The 17,776-nt window shown below is 44.4% G+C and overlaps 2 protein-coding genes and 1 long non-coding RNA gene across 5 annotated transcripts, besides 4 other annotated features; 1 reads left to right on the top strand and 2 right to left on the bottom strand.

Annotated features, from left to right (window-relative positions):
- On the bottom strand, positions 4,413-6,991 carry SLC39A2 (solute carrier family 39 member 2). Of its 2 annotated transcripts, none has more exons than NM_014579.4 (4): positions 6,723-6,991; positions 6,412-6,542; positions 6,118-6,168; positions 4,413-5,337 (listed from the first exon to the last, which is right to left on the bottom strand). In NM_014579.4, the coding sequence occupies exons 1-4, from the start codon at positions 6,835-6,837 to the stop codon at positions 4,705-4,707; spliced, it is 930 nt and encodes a 309-aa protein (NP_055394.2). In that variant the 5' UTR covers positions 6,838-6,991; the 3' UTR covers positions 4,413-4,704. The 2 variants fall into 2 exon arrangements, with proteins under 2 accessions (NP_055394.2, NP_001243517.1); NM_001256588.2 differs by having other exon boundaries at positions 6,118-6,163.
- Positions 5,733-6,932: an enhancer, noted in NCBI's record as "BRD4-independent group 4 enhancer chr14:21467511-21468710 (GRCh37/hg19 assembly coordinates)". NCBI's record gives its function as "activates an origin of replication core promoter dependent on BRD2, P300/CBP, MED14 and CDK7 cofactors, and independent of BRD4, by STARR-seq in HCT116 cells {active_cell/tissue: HCT116}" and the evidence as "EXISTENCE:reporter gene assay evidence [ECO:0000049][PMID:35650434]".
- LOC101929718 (uncharacterized) lies at positions 7,121-10,447 on the top strand. The gene is made up of 4 exons (NR_110139.1): positions 7,121-7,510; positions 8,470-8,604; positions 9,074-9,452; positions 9,954-10,447. It is a non-coding gene; the product is annotated as an uncharacterized LOC101929718 (long non-coding RNA).
- Positions 8,956-10,155: an enhancer, noted in NCBI's record as "MED14-independent group 3 enhancer chr14:21464288-21465487 (GRCh37/hg19 assembly coordinates)". NCBI's record gives its function as "activates an origin of replication core promoter dependent on BRD2, BRD4, P300/CBP and CDK7 cofactors, and independent of MED14, by STARR-seq in HCT116 cells {active_cell/tissue: HCT116}" and the evidence as "EXISTENCE:reporter gene assay evidence [ECO:0000049][PMID:35650434]".
- METTL17 (methyltransferase like 17) lies at positions 9,249-16,304 on the bottom strand. Of its 2 annotated transcripts, NM_022734.3 has the most exons (14): positions 16,207-16,304; positions 15,901-16,054; positions 15,686-15,820; positions 14,079-14,160; positions 13,662-13,743; positions 13,093-13,166; positions 12,221-12,315; positions 11,671-11,741; positions 11,383-11,490; positions 11,051-11,119; positions 10,333-10,383; positions 9,992-10,075; positions 9,573-9,757; positions 9,249-9,499 (listed from the first exon to the last, which is right to left on the bottom strand). In NM_022734.3, exons 1-14 carry the CDS (start codon positions 16,279-16,281, stop codon positions 9,394-9,396), a joined length of 1,371 nt encoding a protein of 456 aa, NP_073571.1. In that variant the 5' UTR covers positions 16,282-16,304; the 3' UTR covers positions 9,249-9,393. The 2 variants fall into 2 exon arrangements, with proteins under 2 accessions (NP_073571.1, NP_001025162.1); NM_001029991.2 differs by having other exon boundaries at positions 9,249-9,757.
- Positions 15,728-15,777: an enhancer, noted in NCBI's record as "active region_8098". NCBI's record gives its function as "activates an Ori minimal core promoter by ATAC-STARR-seq in GM12878 lymphoblastoid cells {active_cell/tissue: GM12878}" and the evidence as "EXISTENCE:reporter gene assay evidence [ECO:0000049][PMID:35858748]".
- Positions 16,528-16,657: a silencer, noted in NCBI's record as "silent region_5575". NCBI's record gives its function as "represses an Ori minimal core promoter by ATAC-STARR-seq in GM12878 lymphoblastoid cells {active_cell/tissue: GM12878}" and the evidence as "EXISTENCE:reporter gene assay evidence [ECO:0000049][PMID:35858748]".

Below are 17,776 nucleotides of genomic sequence, written 5' to 3'. Positions count from 1 at the left end.
AACAAAACAAAAAACTTTCATGACTTACACAATCTCTGACATGTCTTGACTTTCTGACTTGTCCTAAACATCCCTCTCTTTAAACAAGCAGTTATTTTACTTTAGGACAAGAATGTACCATACAAGATCCTTTTTTTTTCTTTTTTTTTTTTTTTGAGACGGAGTCTTGCTCTGTCATCCAGGCTGGAGTGCAGTGGCACGAACAAGATCCTTTCTTATATAAATTCTCTTTTCTTTAATACCTTTTTGCACAGCTAGGGGGCATGGCTAATTTTACATGTCCCCAGGCCTTATCTAGAATTTAACCCGCCAAAATAAATTGAACAATTTTTAAGTCAAAGAAGCAGTTTATGGACTAAAGCATTTCGCAAACGTAATATTTGACCTGCATAATTTAGACCAAAGGCTTACATTTTTGAAAATATTTTTATTTCACCAATAATCTTTAAAACTCTATTTATTTTTATAGCTTTCTTTATATTTCTTTTATTCCCTGGTTTCTTTTACCTTGTTTTGTATATAATCTTTAAATAAGCTTTGAATTAGACAAAAATTAGTTACCCTTTAAAAAAGACACAATCTTTAGAAAGAATGTTTTCCTACAATATATTGTTATTGGAAAATACCCAAATAATGAGATATCTGTTGTTTAATATAATTTTAGATTCTAAATTTTGACAAGTTATTTACAAGTATTTATCCAATTGCATTTATCTAATTATTTTAATCGTTTACCTGGATTATTTATGAAAACTACGATAGTCATCATTTAAAGTTTTGAAGCCGCCATTGCAAAATTATAACTGAGACAGTGAAAATGATCTGACCTGACTCCATTTTGCGTCTAATCTACAAGCTATTCTTGTTTATTAACTTAGTTTATAGTTTAGCTTTGAAACAAAGACGATAACAGTCCTTTCCCAGAACAAACTTTCTTCATGTCTGTGGACTAGACTGCCTAAGGCCACAAGATCAGAAGTTACAGTATTTTACTAAATAATTCAAGATGTAGCTATCTTCATTAAACCAATATTAATGTTTTATTCTTAAAAACTACACAAGCAAAGATCATTCTGTTTTGGGCTGGGTTATAGTTTTGTAGCCTCCATGCCAAATTTTGACACTTTATAGTATTTGGCAGAGATAAGTATGAAATTGCTTGATCAATAAATGCAAACAAAAATGTATGCTGGCAACTCTTAAGATTTCTAATATTACTTTACCAATAATTTTTAAAGCTAGCTTATTTATTAAGGATTTTACTTAAGTCACATAAACTTGAAAAAGCACTTGACTAGTCTTTCCTTTTTTCTGTTAAAGTTTGTAAGTGCTTTTATTTTTTCTTTGAGTCAGTAAATTACAACTCTTTTATATTTTTCAGTAGTGAAACATGGTGTACACAAGACATAAATACCTACACGTATTAGTCATGCCAATAGAAGTATATTTTATAAATTCATAAGCCTTCCTTTTCCTATTTTTTAACTGGACCTTTGAGCTCTGGGCAGACCCCACACTGAATCCTGGGTTTTCAAAAGGGGAGAATTATTATGAGGCTAGACCATTTGATGCTTTTACAGTGCACTTAATTTTTTTTTCAAACAAAGACATTTCTAGCATCTAAATTACATTTATCTTAAAAATCTCAGAGTAGGTTCTGTTGTACTAGCCATTAATGAAGAAAACAGGATTCAGTCAACTGTGAAGAAAAAACTTTTGCTCAAAAAAACAAGGTCCTAGGTGAGAAATAAACAAAAACATGAAGGCCTTTTAAATACAAACATGCACACACACATATATACGCATACACATTTTGGATGGTAGCTTTTAATTAAGCTGACTCTCAACTATTGAGCTTCTAAAAAAACCTTTCTCCTTCCCAGAGGCCTCCCAGCAGGAATGGACCCAATACTTCCCGTTTTCAAGTTTACATGGTATCAAAAGGAACAAGACAGACACACAAACAAGTGGAGACAGATTTCAAGGGGGAGTGCAGTCAGGCAAAAGAGACTCAAAACTAACTCAAAACCTGATCTCGACCAAAATGCAAAGCAGGCGTATGAACGAGCCCTATTGCTTCCCTTGGTGGTACCGGACAAATGGCTTCACAAGCCCAGATAGGAAAACAATAGGCTCCTGGCATATGATCCAGTTAACTCACCCTTTGAGCCTCTCCGCTCCTGACCTCTGTTCTTCGCCAGTAGTGAAAGGGATGTGCAGATTTGCACATGGACCAGCCCTCTGGAGGGTCCCCGGGGGAAACCTCACCCCACAGCTGCTGGGATCCTCCTGAAGACTGTCTCGTCGCAAGCTGCCGGCCATTGAAGGCAGCACTATCCTTATCTCCTGGCTGGCTCTCCAAATTTTGTTCCCAGACCAAACAGAGGGTCACGCTGCTATTTCTCGTGGCCCAATAATGAGATGCCGATGAACTGGGCAGAAAGAGAGTTTTTATTTCTGTCATCGGTTACAGGGAGAAGGCCTGGAAATTATCACCAGACCAACTCAAAATTACAAAGTTTTTCAGAGCTTATATACCTTCTAAGCTATATGTCTACGTGTAAGCGTGCATTCATCTAAAGACATAAGTGATTAACTTCTTTTCATCTATAACTAAGGTCTGAGTCCGGAAGACCTACTCCTGGAGCCTCAGTAAGCTTAATCTAAATGGGTCTAGATGCTGGGGTGGTTACCCTTATCTTGTCTTCTGCTAAATCACAGAGGTTTGGGGAGTTCCTTCAGATGCCCAGTAAACTTGTTTGTGGAGGCCTGGGGAGTTTCTTCAGACCCTCAATAAAACTTGTTTAATCCTAAATGGGTCCTGGTAAGAATTCCTTCGTTATTTTGTCATGCTTTAAGTTTTGCCAGGAAAGGCCTAATCAAAACTCTTGATGGGCTTTTGTTACATGACGGCCTTTGTATAGGCACCGGCTTTTTTTTTAGCTTTTAATATTTAACCTAACCAGTTGCAGTCTGTAATCCACGAACTGAAACAGGGCTTCTCTTCCATTGCAGCTGGCATATCTTGTTGTGTTTATGGGTCTGACAGGCAAACATATCTGAAGCATATCTCATATGCTGATCTGTGAGGGAGATAAGCCCCTTGTTTTGCTTGACTGGAAACAAAATAAGCCCGTGACAGGGATACTCCATCTAGAAACAAAAAGAAGGGCTGTGAGACGAAAATGTGATGGAGGCCTGCGTTAGTGAAACCTGGCCTGCCACAATAGTACCTGGCACATAGCCATTGTTCAGTGTAGAAACTATTACAGTAGAAACTACTACACACTGGACAACTGTTCTGAGTGTATTACATGTTACTGCATTTAACGCTAAATGGAAAGAAAACACAATACTATGGTGCTTTAGGGAAATGATTTCCTGCGTTAGACATATCTATCATCTCTCCCTCTCTCTCTCTCTGTATCATTTTTGCCTGAAGCTGGCCTTCTCACTGATCTCTGGGTGTGTAAACTGGGCTTATGAGGAGGCTTGTATTTCTTACTTTGTAGGAAGGGGAACAGGATGGAAAGGAGACAGAGACTGAGAAGAAGAATGAATGTCCATGTTAAGGTACTTGGGCTTCCATGCTGAAAATACTAGAAAGGGCCAACTTGTGAGGGTAACTGAACTCACAGGGCACACTTTCTCTTTCCCCATTTCTCCACTAAGTTTGAGATATTCCTCCACCTCATGAGTTGGGGGCTATGCAATAGCCATCCTGTTCCTACCAATTCCAGCTAACCTGCTTTCGTATTTGTCCTCAGCAGTTTTTAAGAGAAACAACACATTGTAGGGGTTACTTAGATGGAAAGACAATTGGTAAGACAGGCAGGAGAAAAGCCAGTGAGTCCTGCAAGAGCCAAGTAATCATCCCAGGCATTTATTTTAATATCTAGCACCTTTCTCCCTCTCCAAGCACACTGCTTTTTAATCCCTCAACACAAGGCAGCTGGAAGGAGATAGAAGCTCAAAGAAGAGCAATAGTGTCCCTGAGGCCACACAGGGCTCGGTGTGAAAAAACAGGAACCTAATGGAGATAGGTTCCATTCTGCCTGATCTCCATTTAGCCTGGACATGTTATCGGTGGCTGATAATGGGTACTGGGAATGGGGTGGTTATGGTAAGTGTAGGAACATAATCGATCCACGTCATTTTGGCTTTTAACTTTCTTTCCTTTTAAATGCTGGGAACTGGCTCATTTTCTCAACTACAGTGGGTAAGGTGGGAGGGGAATTTTAGCAAGGTGCCATGTCTAGGGGTGTGGCTGCAACTGACAGGATGGCTAGGAGCCCTAATTCCAGAATAAAATACTGCATTCAACACTCATCCTTCCCATTCCCCATTCCACCACTTCCTGTGCCAGGTAGCATCTAGGCAACCAGGAGAAATGAAATCCAGAATGGCTGAAGGAGGGTAAAATGGGCATTTTATTACACACAGTAGCATAAATGGGATAAGAATAAAATCTGGAGCGTCTCTGTACCAATTCTCCAATTAATAGCTGCTCAACCTAAATATCTTTGTCTTAGTCCAGGGTGAGAAATGGGATCTCATGTAAAGGAAACCTGGGGTCCAGTCCAGTCCTACTGAATGCTATTTAGTCTGAGTAAAGAAATGTCTGAGGGTCAAAGCCATTTGGGAGGTCTCCCTGGGGATAGAGAGGTTGTCCTAAATAGGTCCATCAGAAAAGCCAGGAATCTCTCAGGCCCACAAGGCAATAAAGGCCATGAAGGCAAAACCAGCGGCTACACAGCTCCACTTAGCTAGAGGGGCCTCAGGACTAGCTAGCTCCCGTGGAAGAATTTCTAGGAAGGTGACATACAGGAAGGTACCAGCTGCCACACCCTCTAACACAGCCTGGGCTAAGCCCCGCCCTCCTTCAGAGTCCCCTCCAGTCACAGCCAGCCCTACGGCTAGGCCCAGGGGGGACATGAGAGCTAATAATAGTATGGAGAACACTGCCCATCGTGAGCTGGTACCTAAATGCACTAGCCGCATTCCTACACCAAACACCACAAGCCCCTTATGAGCCAGGACAGCAAGGCAGAGCTGCACGGTAGCTGCTACTGTCGGCTGCAGCCCCACAGCTAGCCCTTCAAACACTGAGTGAAAGGAGAGTGACAGCAAGAGGACAAGGGCTCGGAGGGGACCCTTTGAGGGTGAGGGTAAATGTCCATGGCTGTGGAGTTCGAAGATATGAGCCCCACCCCATTCTTCGTCCTGCACTGTCGATCCTCCAGCAGCCCCAGGACAGCACTGCAATGCCAGCGACTCCAAAAAGAAGACAAAAAAGAAGCCCAGGGAGATGATGAGCTCTCCATAGGGATACTCCATCTAGAAACAAAAAGAAGGGCTGTGAGATGGAAAGGAAGGGTAGGCAATACATTGGATGGACATGGAATTGGGAGATTGAAGAGAATGAGAAAATGTGGTAACAGAACACAAAAAAGGGTAGGGGAAATGAAGCCAAGAGTAGACATGGCCATGCAACAACAAGAATGCCAGAGTGGGCCGGACACAGTGGCTCATGCCTGTAATCCTAGCACTTTGGGAGACTGAAGTGGGCAGATCACTTGAGGTCAGGAGATTGAGACCAGCCTGGCCAACATGATGAAACCCCGTCTCTACTAAAAATACAAAAACTAGCCAGGTGTGGTGGCACGTGCCTGTAATCCCAGCTACTCAGGAGGCTGAGGCAGGAAAATCACTAGAACTCGGAAGGCAGAGGTTGCAGTGAGCCGAGATTGTGCCACTGTACTCCAGTCTGGGCGACAGAGAGATTTCATCTCAACAAACAAACGAAAAACAACAACAACAAAAGACTGCCAGAGGGGCTAAGGGACAGAATCTCAATAGAGTTAAAAACATGGGCAAATGATGTGAGGTATATCAGAGGATCCAGGGAAAGAATGAAAGAGTAAAACAAGGGCTTTCCCTGGCATTCTATAAACTCAAAAGGATTGGATTTGCTCCTCTTTTCCTCTACGATGTCTGAGCTAGGGAGCAGAAGGGATTCTTGGTACTCCTCATGTATTCCTCTCAAAAGGGTCTGGATATGAAAGGCCTCTCTGGTTCTCCTCACTCTCCAGATAGGGGATGGTGGGAGGTACTTACATGAGCTGAATCAGCATCACCAGAAGAATTTCTCTCACTTGCTGATCTGTTCTAAGAAGAAAGCAGCAGAAATTAGATGTGGGATGGAGCAGCACAGCTTCCTGTGCTGTCCCTTCAGCAATTCTGTTTTCCTTAAAGCCTAATCTGACTTGCTTTCACCATCCCACACAAGAGCTGTCATTTTCCTTGTCGTTCCACCCATGTCCTTGGCTCCATCACTTTCCCGCTCTCTTCCCTTTGTCCTGTTTATCATTTTGGCCTCATAGACCTGCGGCTTGAAATCTCTGCTCTCACCTGCACCATGAACTTCTGAATCTGTGATTCAATTTCCTCCAGGGCTTCAGCAGTCATATGCATGAACCCTGCTCCCAGGAAAACACCAGCAGAAATACAGCCCAGGAGTCTGAGGACTAGCCGGTGATGACCTAATAAAAAGCAGAAGTTACAACCCACTTGACACTGAGGAGACAGACAAAGGTGAGTAAAGAGCAGCAGGCAGCACTCAATATCCCAAGGTTGGGGATGGTGAGAGAATCAGAGCAAGGTATCAGGACAGGGTTGAGGTGAGACTCAGGCTATGGAACAAAGATGGGGTAGGGCTATACCTCTGGCTGCATCAATCTGGAACCATTTGAAGCAGATGGGAGTAAGGCCACAGCCCAGAGTGAGAGCCAACAGGGCAAACAGGCAGCCAAGTTTTATTCCTAGTAGTTGCTCCATCTCTGGGGTGTAGGGTAAGCCCAGGAGTCAGAATGACAAGGGAGCTGTAATCTTTGGAGCAGGAGTGGTATCTTAGGTGGTCAACACTGGAGTGTCCACTCTCGTGAGTTTCAGGAGGCTGTTGGTATCTTCTTTCTGTGTTGCTTCTGCTTCTGCAGCATTGCAGAGCTGACAGATCCTGCCCCAGCTTCTAGCCCTCCCCCTGCATGGAGGCCCCTCCCCTGGTTCACGCCTTCCTGAGCTTGGAAACCAGAAACTCCAGACTCCCTGCCAGGCACAGCCCAGTGGCGTCTTCTCCTCCTCTTCAATGGCATGACTAATCCAAGAGCTACGGATAGTCTTAGTTCATGTGCTTGGGGTTGGTCTAATCCAAAATAGGAAAGTCTATGGTAGCTGCTTCCCAGCTATTTTGTACTGGGGACAATCTGGTCCTGTCTCACTCAGGACGTTTGATCTAAGCCTTCCATACCCTCTCCACCTCATCCCAAGTCTTATAGGTTGCAATGCTGATACTTGAACCACCCGCTTTCAGAGATTTGGGGCCACCTGGAGGTAAAGAGGTGGGGCTGAGAGGTGGTGCTGGTGCTACTCTGTGGGAACTAGTACCCACATGAGGGAACTACCCTTTCCTGTAACCCCAGAAAAATAGCTCCAGGCATGGAAATGTCTAGTGGTAAGTTGATTTGTTTTTTTTCTTTCTCTTTTGATTGGGATCAGTTTTGAGAGGAATGAGTTGAGATGTCTGGTATTACAACATTTATACTGTTACAACTTCTAACTGTGCCTGTTTCCTGGTAAGAACTGTGGAAAAAAAGACATTTAAGGTTTAAGACAAAGGAAGCTGCTCTAGCCCTGAAACAGCAAGGCTTAGGGGAAAACAGAAATGAACTGAGTGAATGGGAGGATTCTACCTGGATATAGAGAGGTGGGGGTAGAAGATTCAGTTCTGATGGGAATCACTCTTGATGGAAATGTCTGGGGCATTTCCCATACATACTCTAGGGTAGCTGAGGGACCCTGGGAAAGACAGAAGGGAAGGCGTTAGTACAAGAGGCCAGGCAGCTGCTGATTCCCCTATTCAGGTGGCCCACATAACAACCCTGAGACCTGTTGAGCCAGTTCTCAGAGCTCTGGAGGCAGCTTTCCTTGCTACTCCAGATTATTTTCCTAGGGAAGTCCTGGCCTCTGGTAGAAGCAGTATTCTTACAGTGTTACTGGATGATTCTTACAGTGTTACTGGTCCTGCTGCTTGTTCTTGTGGTCCGGTAATGAGATGCAGACAGACAGACTGGGAAAGACGGGAGTTTATTTCTGCAACTGATTACAGGGAGGTCGGAGTAGCACACCAGACCAACTCAAAGTTACAAGCTTTTCTTTAGCTTTTATATACAATTCAAGCTCTATGACTACCTGCGGGAATGTTTCCTAATTAATCTAAACTAGGGGTCTGCAGGTAGAAGTTTTTTTTTTGTTTTTTAGAAACAAAGCAATAAACGATTTGATTTAGAAATAAAACCATTCCCATTATTGCAGCATTATCATCAGTCACTGATTGCTAATGCTGTTTACGCTTCTTTTTCCCTGGGATGTCTGAACCTGGCAACTTTTCTTCCTGTTCTTCTATTTTCTTAGCAAACCCACATCAAGGGTGTCTGTTCGCGTTTGAAATTCATCGGCACCAGAAAGAGCTAACATGTTGGCAGTATCTAGAAAACCATCAACATGAGCATGGGACAGTTCGCTTTGCAGCTGATCCCACCATAGTGAGTGAGTACTTGCAGACAGAAGTTTCTTAATCTTAAGTTGGTCCTGGGATGGGTTGTATGTGCAGGAATGCTTTTATCACTCAGCTAGATCTGAGGTAGAGAAAGTATAGGTGGGGCTTTAAAGGGCTTGCTTTTTTTGTATTCTGGCTTTCGTACTCAGGCACCAGTTTCCCCCGATTCCTTATCCATTTTTCTTGCTTCTGCTTTAATGTTTAACTTGTACATTCATCATTATAGCAAAGGGCTTATGGAAATCTGGTTTTTCTACTTCTGCTTTAATGATCAGCTTACACATTCATCATTACAGCGAAGAGCTTATGGAGCTCTGAACTGCCACAATAGGAGAGGGCGAGCTTGAGATTTGTGTGGGAAGCCTGGCACCAAAAATCTGAGGAAGCTCTTCATTACAGGATAGGCCAGGATAATTAACTATACCTTTTACATGTTTTTTTTTTTTTTTTTTTTTTAAGGGAGGACGTCTTGCTCTGTTACCTATGCTGAAGTGCAGTGTTACAATCAAAGTTCACTGTAGCCTTAACACCTGGGCTCAAGTGATCCTCTTGCCTCAGCTTCCTGAGTGGCTGGAAATGCAGACACATGCCACCGTGCCCAGCTTCTACACTTTTTAAGAATCACAAAATCCACTTCCATTCTTCAAAAATTTATTATTTATTATTAAAAATCTCAAACAAACACAGACATATGGGGATACCAGCATTCCCCTCCTGGATACCAGGCAGCTTCAGCCCTGGCAGGCACGATAGAAGAAAATACTTGTTACACATCCTCATCAACTCTCAGAGGGATCCTGAGCCGTAGATGGAGGAAACGCAGACGGAGTAAGCACAGGTAAAAGATCTCCCCAGGAGCTGACACGGGCACAACGATACAAATCCCTGTGGAAACAGATGCTGGCGTGGGCTGCAGCTTCCTGCCACATCCCACTGATTTTGGTCACACCCCCCATACCTGCCGTGCCGGCGGGCTGTGAGCACAGCATGCTGCATGTGCCCATCTGGACAGCACAAGTGACAATGCACATGGCGAGGCCGTTTAAGGACAGGCTGAGTGATACGGGGCCAGCGATGAGCCTCCTCTGGAGACCCCCGAGCAAGGATCACCATAGAGAACTTTTCTTCCTTTGGTTTCTTGTTCTAAGATAAGGAACATAGAGACTGTTTAGAAGAAAAAGATATGGGAAAAAAGTTTGTACAGTCCCTTCTTCCCCATTCCTGCAGTCCTTTTTTACAATGTATAAATCATATACATGTAGGCCCTAAAGTCTCCAGGCTATTCTACAAATTATCCAACTCCTCCTAACTCTGATTCTTTTTCTTCCTGTTTTTCCAGGATGTTTGCTTCCTGCTGCAATATCCCCAGGTACCTACCCAGCTGAAGGGGATGGGATGGTACGCCTGTGAGAAGCTACAGGCCAGGTTGGTCAACTGGGGACAAGGGAGTTCATGGGGACACTGTGAACACATAAAAAAATGAGGTAAGACAAAAGAGCCATCAATCACAAAACTTAAAAACTGAGAATAATAGAGTCAAAAGGGGCCAGGGAGAAGGGAGGACAGGAGCAGTGGGTAGGAAGAGCCAGGGGAATCATTAGGTAGGAACTGGATAGGAACACAAAGTAGTGGAGAGTGGCTTAGCTTTACCATCTTACATTTCCCGGCCACGCCTAAGTTCAGATCCGTGTGGTGGGACAGGCAGAAGTAATACTCACCGGGGCAAAGACAAAACCAGGTCGAGGGTCCAAAGGTGACTTCTCTTTTCCCTGAAATCAAAGGAAATAAAAGAAATAAAGCTGGGCCAAGGGTCTATTTTCATAATTCAATCTCTGCACTCAGTAAACTGAGGACTCCTTTAACACTCAATTCTAATAACGATTGACTATGTCCTTTGAATTAAGCTGGCTGCATCTTTAATACTCCAAACAAAGAACTTTCTCTTTGCTGCAGGAGAAAGGCAAGAACTTGGCACATAGTACGGTGCTCTCCCTTGTCAGCAACCTCCACTCTCAAAAAAATCCCACTCCAGGACAATTAAATTTATGATTATACACTGGCTCATACTCTCCCCCAGTGACAAGGTTCTTAGCTCAGCAATGCCCTAGATTAGGAGTCCGCAAAGTTTCTTTTAAAGGGCCAGAGAGTAGGCAAAATCTATCTCTGTCCCAACTACTCAACTCTGCTGTTTGTAGTGTGAAAGCAGTCACAGACAACAGAGGCACAAATAAGCATGGCTTATATAAAAACAGGTGGCAGGTCGGATTTGATCCACAGGCTCTCATTTGCCAACCACTGCTCTGTATCATAATGACTTCATACGCCCAGTTTCCTGAGAGCCACCCTTGTCAATACATGACAGTCTCTTTCGTTTTCAAGAGAGTAACAGTAATTGGTGCCATATGGGTGGGGGAGTGAGGGAAGAAGAAGCCTTACCTTAAGGACCAGATCCCTGGCATCCATGAGAAGGCTGTGCCCAGCTTTTGTTCCATTCTCCACCAGTACCTGTTCACAAAAGGGGAAAATATGCAGAAGACTTGAATTACACGAAAGTATAAATGTCAGTAGCTGTGTAAGAGCAATCATAGAGGGAGAAGGAGTCCTAAAAAGAAATAGGCATTACATAATCAGGATGGAGACCCTCAAAGAGGGATAAAGAAACCCATGAAGGAGAAAAATGGTGAAGAATAAAGACAATGAGAGGAGCAAAGGCATGAAATCCATGAAGCTGCTTCAAGACTTAAGGAGAACAAGGAATTTTAACTCACCAGGAAATGACCTGTCTTACGCCATAAGGTTTGAACTACCTCAGTGCGGTCAGCCTTGCTGGGCAGTTCACTTAAGGAAAAAGCTGACACTACTACATCAAACTGCACCTGAGGACCAAGACAAGGAACATGACAGACTCAACATCTCTACATCCCAAGAATACAACAAAGTCCTAGCCGCTAAATTTCTTTTATCTTCTAACACTCAGTGCTGGGCTGCAAAGCTCAAGCCATAGTTTTCCATCTGCCACATTCCACATTTAGAATATTCTAAACACTGCCACTTGCCTTGGGTGATACAGGTAGAAACTGTCTGAAAAAGACACCTGGAATATAAGGCTCCCCAGATTCTGAACCACCTGTGGAGAAAAGAAGAGGCAACTGTGAGTGTGTAGGAAGTTAGGTATAAACTGAAGAGATATCCAGATAAGAAACATGGCCCCAAGAATAGGTAAAGTGTATATCAAAAAGGGCAGGGATGAGCCAGGTATGGCGGTGCGTGCCTGTAATCCCAGCTACCCTAGAGGCTGAAGTGGGAGGATGGCTTGAGGCCAGGAGTTTGAGACCAGCCTGGGTAACATATGGAGACCCTACCTCTAATTAAAAAAAAAAAAAAAAGGGCAGGGAGAATATTAGGCCTCCTGTCCTTTGATTCTTACCCAACCCATCCTCAGTCCAGCAGAAACCTCTAATACCACCCTTTGCTTGACTATAACTTTAAAAGTAAACCAGATTCATCTTAATTTTTACCCTCTTCTCTACTTCCCAGTAAAACACTTTTACTAGTACCCCTTTGCTTTCTTAACTCCCTCAACTTTGGAAGTGCTCTTGCACTCACCTTTCAGTAGTTTTTCTGCCAAAACCAACATGGCAGCTGATCTGTCCACACACATATATTCACGTAGGCTCTGGCCCCAAATACTGTGAGCAGCCCTAAGATGGCAAAATTATTATAAATCACCAATTCCCATGACCAAGAGTCATCTCTACAAGAGGCCCATTTACACCCAACCCCACCCCTGGGAAAAGAGAGTGTTATGTTAAAGTAGTTGTATAGTTAGTAATAAAATAACTAATAGTGTTATTTTCTTGTTTTATTTACAACTCCTAAAAAAAAAAAGGTAGACTCAGCTGGGCACAGTGGCTCATGCTTGTAATCCCAGCACTTTGGGAGGCCAAGGTGGGCGGATCACAAGGTCAGGAGTTAGAGACCAGCCTGGCCAATATGGTGAAACCCCGTCTCTACTAAAAATACAAAAATTAGCTGGGTGTGGTGGCGTGCACCTGTAGTCCCAGCTACTCGGGAGGGTGAGGCAGGAGAATCACTTGAACCCAGGAGTGGAGGCTGCAGTGAGCCGAGATTGTGCCACTGCACTCCAGCCTGGGCGACAGAGTGAGACACCGTTTCAAAAAAGAAAAAAAAAAGGTAGACTCAAAATACTATTTGTAGGCAAAAACAACTTTGATTGATAATTCCTTTTCTTTTTAATTTTTCTACACATGCGCCTTTTTTTACTTGACATTTCTTTTAAGTTCTGGCCCCAATCCATATACCTTCTTCTGCCTTGCCTAATCTGATGGAAGAAACATTATAGATTCCCAACTTGCCTATTCTCCCTCTGGTTTTCCAGTCTGTTAATTTTGGAGTGGTGTAAGTATGGCTTTCTAGAGCTAAAATTGACCAAGATAGGGCTGAAGAAAGTTACTCACCAGGTGACAGAACCAGTACCTGAGCCAAAGTCCATCAAAGTTTGTGGCTGAAATGCTGGATTTCGAGCCCGGATCTGAAGAAATATACAACATCCCACAGTAGGGTAATTAGATACTTATTTAGGACCTTGATAAATGTGAATTAGGAGGCTATCACAGAGGATGTGAGATGTGAATGCCTTTTGAGATTCAATACAAATACCTTATGGGATAAGAATCTCCTAAAATAGTGATTCTAAACCTTTCTTGGGTCACAGAAAGCTTTCACAGGATAAAGAGAACGTCTTTATTTTGTGTTTTTTTTAAGAGATGAGGTCTCACTCTGTCACCAGGCTGGAGTACAGTGGAGATCACAGCTCACTGCAGCCTCAAACTGGCTCAAGCAATCCTCCTGCCTCAGCCTCCCAAACAGTTGGGACTGCAGGCAGGAGCCCACTATGTCCAGCGGAGATCCTCTTTAAAAAAAAAATGCATATGCAATGTCCCAAGAATCCCCATCCTAGAAAACTACTTTATGAATAGGGAACTGATGGTCAAAAAGTTCAGGTTGGAAGTTAAGGGACTTTCACCTCATGGAATGCTCTGGAGACTGCTGCAAAGCCACCATCCAGTCTTGCTGCCATATACACCAGGCTCAGTCCCTCAGTGTAGCTGCCATTAAAATCACAGAGTTGTACATACTAGTAAATAACCTTAATCCCATAATTACCTTCTAGATTTAGAAAATGACATCTTGGAAAGGGCTCTTCCAGCTCAGGCCTTTCACTCCCCAATACAAAAGGGTCCTGGGGAGACTTACAAACACTAAATTTTCAAACTTCAGTGTTCAAAACTTTGTACTTTAGCTTTTTCAAATACTAAATTGATCCTTTTAAGGTCAGGTGATATAAAAGAAAATACTAAATTGATTGTGTAATTGTACTCCCCCAACTCTCTTTCTAAAGTCTACCTTTGCTTTCTTGTGCACCTCTTCTGGGCCCCCTTACCTCAGTTCTTGCCAATGGTAGGTAGTTTTACGTAGTGCGTGTAGCACTGCTCCACGAAGTTTCTCCTCTGTCTGAGATAAGTCTGTGGTGAGAACAAGGACTGGAAGTCAGGACCTAGGGAGAACAGGGCTCAGATCCAATATCTGAATATACTGCCCACCCAGTCCTCCCCGACTCCACCTAAGAAAAGCCTTAAAGCTCAAGGGAGACGACAAACCTAGAGAAAAGTTTCAGGCAAGAATTAACGGTAACAACTACCACTAACAGATTGTATCAGATAGCATTTTATTTATAAGAATGGTTTATTCAGCTTAACCAATCCTGTCCCACAGGTTTGTTTTATATTAAAGGAAAGTGTGATACAAATTTAAAGGGTAAGCTGGGTGCGGTGGCTCACGCCTGTAAGCTCAGCACTTTGGGAGGCTGAGGCAGGCGGATCACGAGGTCAGGAGTTTGAGAACAGCCTGACCAACATGGTGAAAACCTTTCTCTACGAAAAATACAAAAATTAGCCAGGCGTGGTGGCGTGCACCTGTATTCCCAGCTACTTGGGAAGCTGAGGCAGGAGAATCACTTGAAACCGGGAGGCAGAGGTTGTGGTGAGCTGAGATCGCACCACTGCACTATAGCCTGGGCAACAGAGCAAGACTCTGTCTCAAAAAAAAAAAATTTTTTTTAAAGGGTAGGCCAAGGACATTATTTTTTGGATTTCTTCACTTCTCCAAAATTTAAGGTTTTGATGATCTCCACTATTCCTATGGAGAGGAAAGAAATCTGAAAATCTACGTCTCATGACTGTTCAGTTCAGTACTATTTAGCAAGTATCTACTGAACTACTGTGAGCCAGGTACTGTGAGGTGTGCAGGGAATGCAAGATGAATAAATGGTAGTGTCAAGGAGCTCACAATCATGAAACTAACTTGATGAATTATATTTACCCTCTTATCCCAGAAGAGGGTTTCAGTACTGGGCAGGGACCATCCAGGGACTTTATTTTACCTGAATAAAAACTTAGAAGGTCCTAATCCAGTGGACTTGCAGAAAAAAATAAATATCTAGATTTTAACAGTATATTGGTAGCCAGGCGCGGTGGTTCATGCCTGTAATCCTAGCACTTTGGGAGGCCAAGGTGGGCGGATCACCTGAGGTCAGAAGTTCGAGACTAGCCTGGCCACCATGATGAAACCCCGTCTCTACTAAAAATACAAGTAGCCGGGTGTGGTGGTGCACGCCTGTAATCCCAGCTACTGAAGAGGCTGAGGCAGGAAAATCACTTAAACCCGGGAGGCGGAGGTTGCAGTGAGCCGAGATCGAGCATTACACTTCAGCCTGGGTGACAGAGCAAGACTCTGTCTCAAAGCAAAAACAAAACAACAAAACAAACAAACAAACAAAAAACAGTATACTGGGACATTCTGACCTTTACCTAAGCAATCTCTAAAATAATCTACCTTCTTTTAGTAAGGCATCATTGTAACAACTGCTGCTCTGGTTAGAAAGTCAAATAAGAGACTTCAGTATCTGAGAGATTGTAGAATTATTTCTTACTCTTCATTTCTAACCGATATTTCAATCTCGCCCACTTTTTAATTATTCTTAAGTCCTACCTGGGTTTTCCAGGAATTTTTTCTCAAGATGCCTAGCCCGTCTTTGCAACTCCTCTGGCTCTACAGGCAAATGTCTGCTCCAGAGATAACTGGTCAGTGTTTGCACCTGATTCTCCATAGTGGGCCCAGCGCTCCCTATGGGCCAAAGACGAAAAGCGGAATCACTTGCATGTAGGTCCAGTCCCGTTTCTTCTCGCTTTCCCGCCGTTACTCACCAAGTAGCAATAACTGGGCACCGTTAGCCAGTGCCTGTGGCAGCCGCACGTGCGGCAGCTTTAGGATGCCAGGGTGCTGGCGATGAGGCCTCTTCTGCAGGAAACCGGACTTGTTATCTACCTGGGTCACTCCGGGTACTAAGGCGGCGAGCGCCTGCAGGCAGAGAAAGGTAGGTTGATTTCCTGGCAGAAAGGAAAGTTGCTGGCAATCGCTAGGGCGGGGGCTGCCAGGAGCGCTCCTCCTCTGCGCGGAGATGTCTCTGCAGATCCAGAGTCTCTCCGACAGCAGGGAATGTAGGCACTCACCCGGGCCTGGGGAGCCACTCCAAGGCCGGGGCACCATCTTCCTAATGTCAGTAGACACTTCAGTGCCGCCGCCATGGCTCCGGAGGCGAACCGGAAACGGAAATACAGGTGCCTGTGACCCTCAGTCCCAACGCCGCAAGGAGCAGCCTTCGCAGAACTTCTCCCGACAGTTTCAGCCAACGAGAAGAGCGAGTGTTTGCCAGCAGCCAATAAGCAATGGTTATATAAATAATCCTTGAGGCAGAAACCGTGTTTGGGCCGACTTGAAGGCTGCGTTGGGCCTGGTCACCGGCCCCAGAAATCAAGAGGGTGGGGTGGGGCGGGGCGGGACGGGACGGGGGCGGGATGGGGTTGGGTGTGAGCGCGCCAGCAAAGACTGTTTCTGGGAGTACTGACTTCCTGTGTTCTTTGCATTCCTCCGCGGAGAACTCTGAGTCTTGGGTTGTTTCCCTGTGTGAAAAAGGGAGACTGCAGTAACGGAAAGAAGAGAAAAATCAGATTTAAGCGACTGAAGAAAACAGAAATTAATAGTTAAATGATTATTGAATAGTTAATAGTTTGATAAATATTAAACCTAGTTAATAGGTTTATTTATTTTTTTACATTTGTTAATTTCTCTTCAAATGAGACCAGTCTTCTTAGTAAGCTAACATAACACTTACTGAGAACACCTATGTGCTAGGTACTTCAGGGAAAAGGACTGATCCCCACTTCACAGAAAACATGGTTCTGACGGGGACCCTCCTGTGTCTGCTGCTACGTCAGAGTGTTTCCCCCAGGCCCAGGACTTAGACAGTAGCCGTCTGATTACCTGAGGTGCAGAATCTCAGGTGGGTCCAGCCACTATTGTGACGTGATAATATAGCATAGGGGAATGGTCTCCAGAGTCTGCAAGCTCATCAACACCTTCATTCACTAGAGCATCAGAAGGATAAATGGCATATGCAAGGCGATATCTACTTTCGGGACCTGACAGTGGACAACTGCTACCTCAGTCTCCGAACACTTGAGCTCACCCAGTGTGTGATTTCTGTGGGCTCCTGGCCCCCTAATTTCCGTTACAGGTTTAGGATGTTCTCCCAGCACATCCACTTGACCTGTGTGTGGAACCAGCCAGTTCATCTGGAGGGCTAGACTCCTGAGTCATCAGGCTAGGGCCTGATGATCTCAGGCCCCAGCGCCCTAATTGGACTTTCCTTCTGTGGTTCTCTACCTTATTCGACTTCTTCCCCAAATCTGCAGACCTCACCGACTGCAGCCTGCCAGCTCTCTCAGGGCTCCTCATCTCGGGGTGAGGTGGGGTGAGGAGACATGGGTGGACAGGGGGAGAAGGGCCGCTCTGCCTCTTCCAGGCGGAACCGCCCTTCCTGTAGATGAATGCATGGCCCACTGACACATCCTAGGCTGACACTTGCCTCTTTTCCAGCTTTTCCTCAGTCCTCCTTTTACCTGGGAATCTTTCCTGGGTGCTCAAAAGGGTCACCACAGTGACCTCTACCCCTCCAGTGAGAATGCTCACGTTCAGAGTCGTGATTCTGTGTGTGCCCTGGGCTGAGGACTCTGCCCTAGA

This window comes from Homo sapiens, chromosome 14 (assembly GCF_000001405.40).
Source record: "Homo sapiens chromosome 14, GRCh38.p14 Primary Assembly".
NCBI lineage: Eukaryota > Metazoa > Chordata > Mammalia > Primates > Hominidae > Homo > Homo sapiens.
Note: the sequence above shows the minus strand (reverse complement) of the source record. Positions and strands in the feature narration are given on the sequence as shown.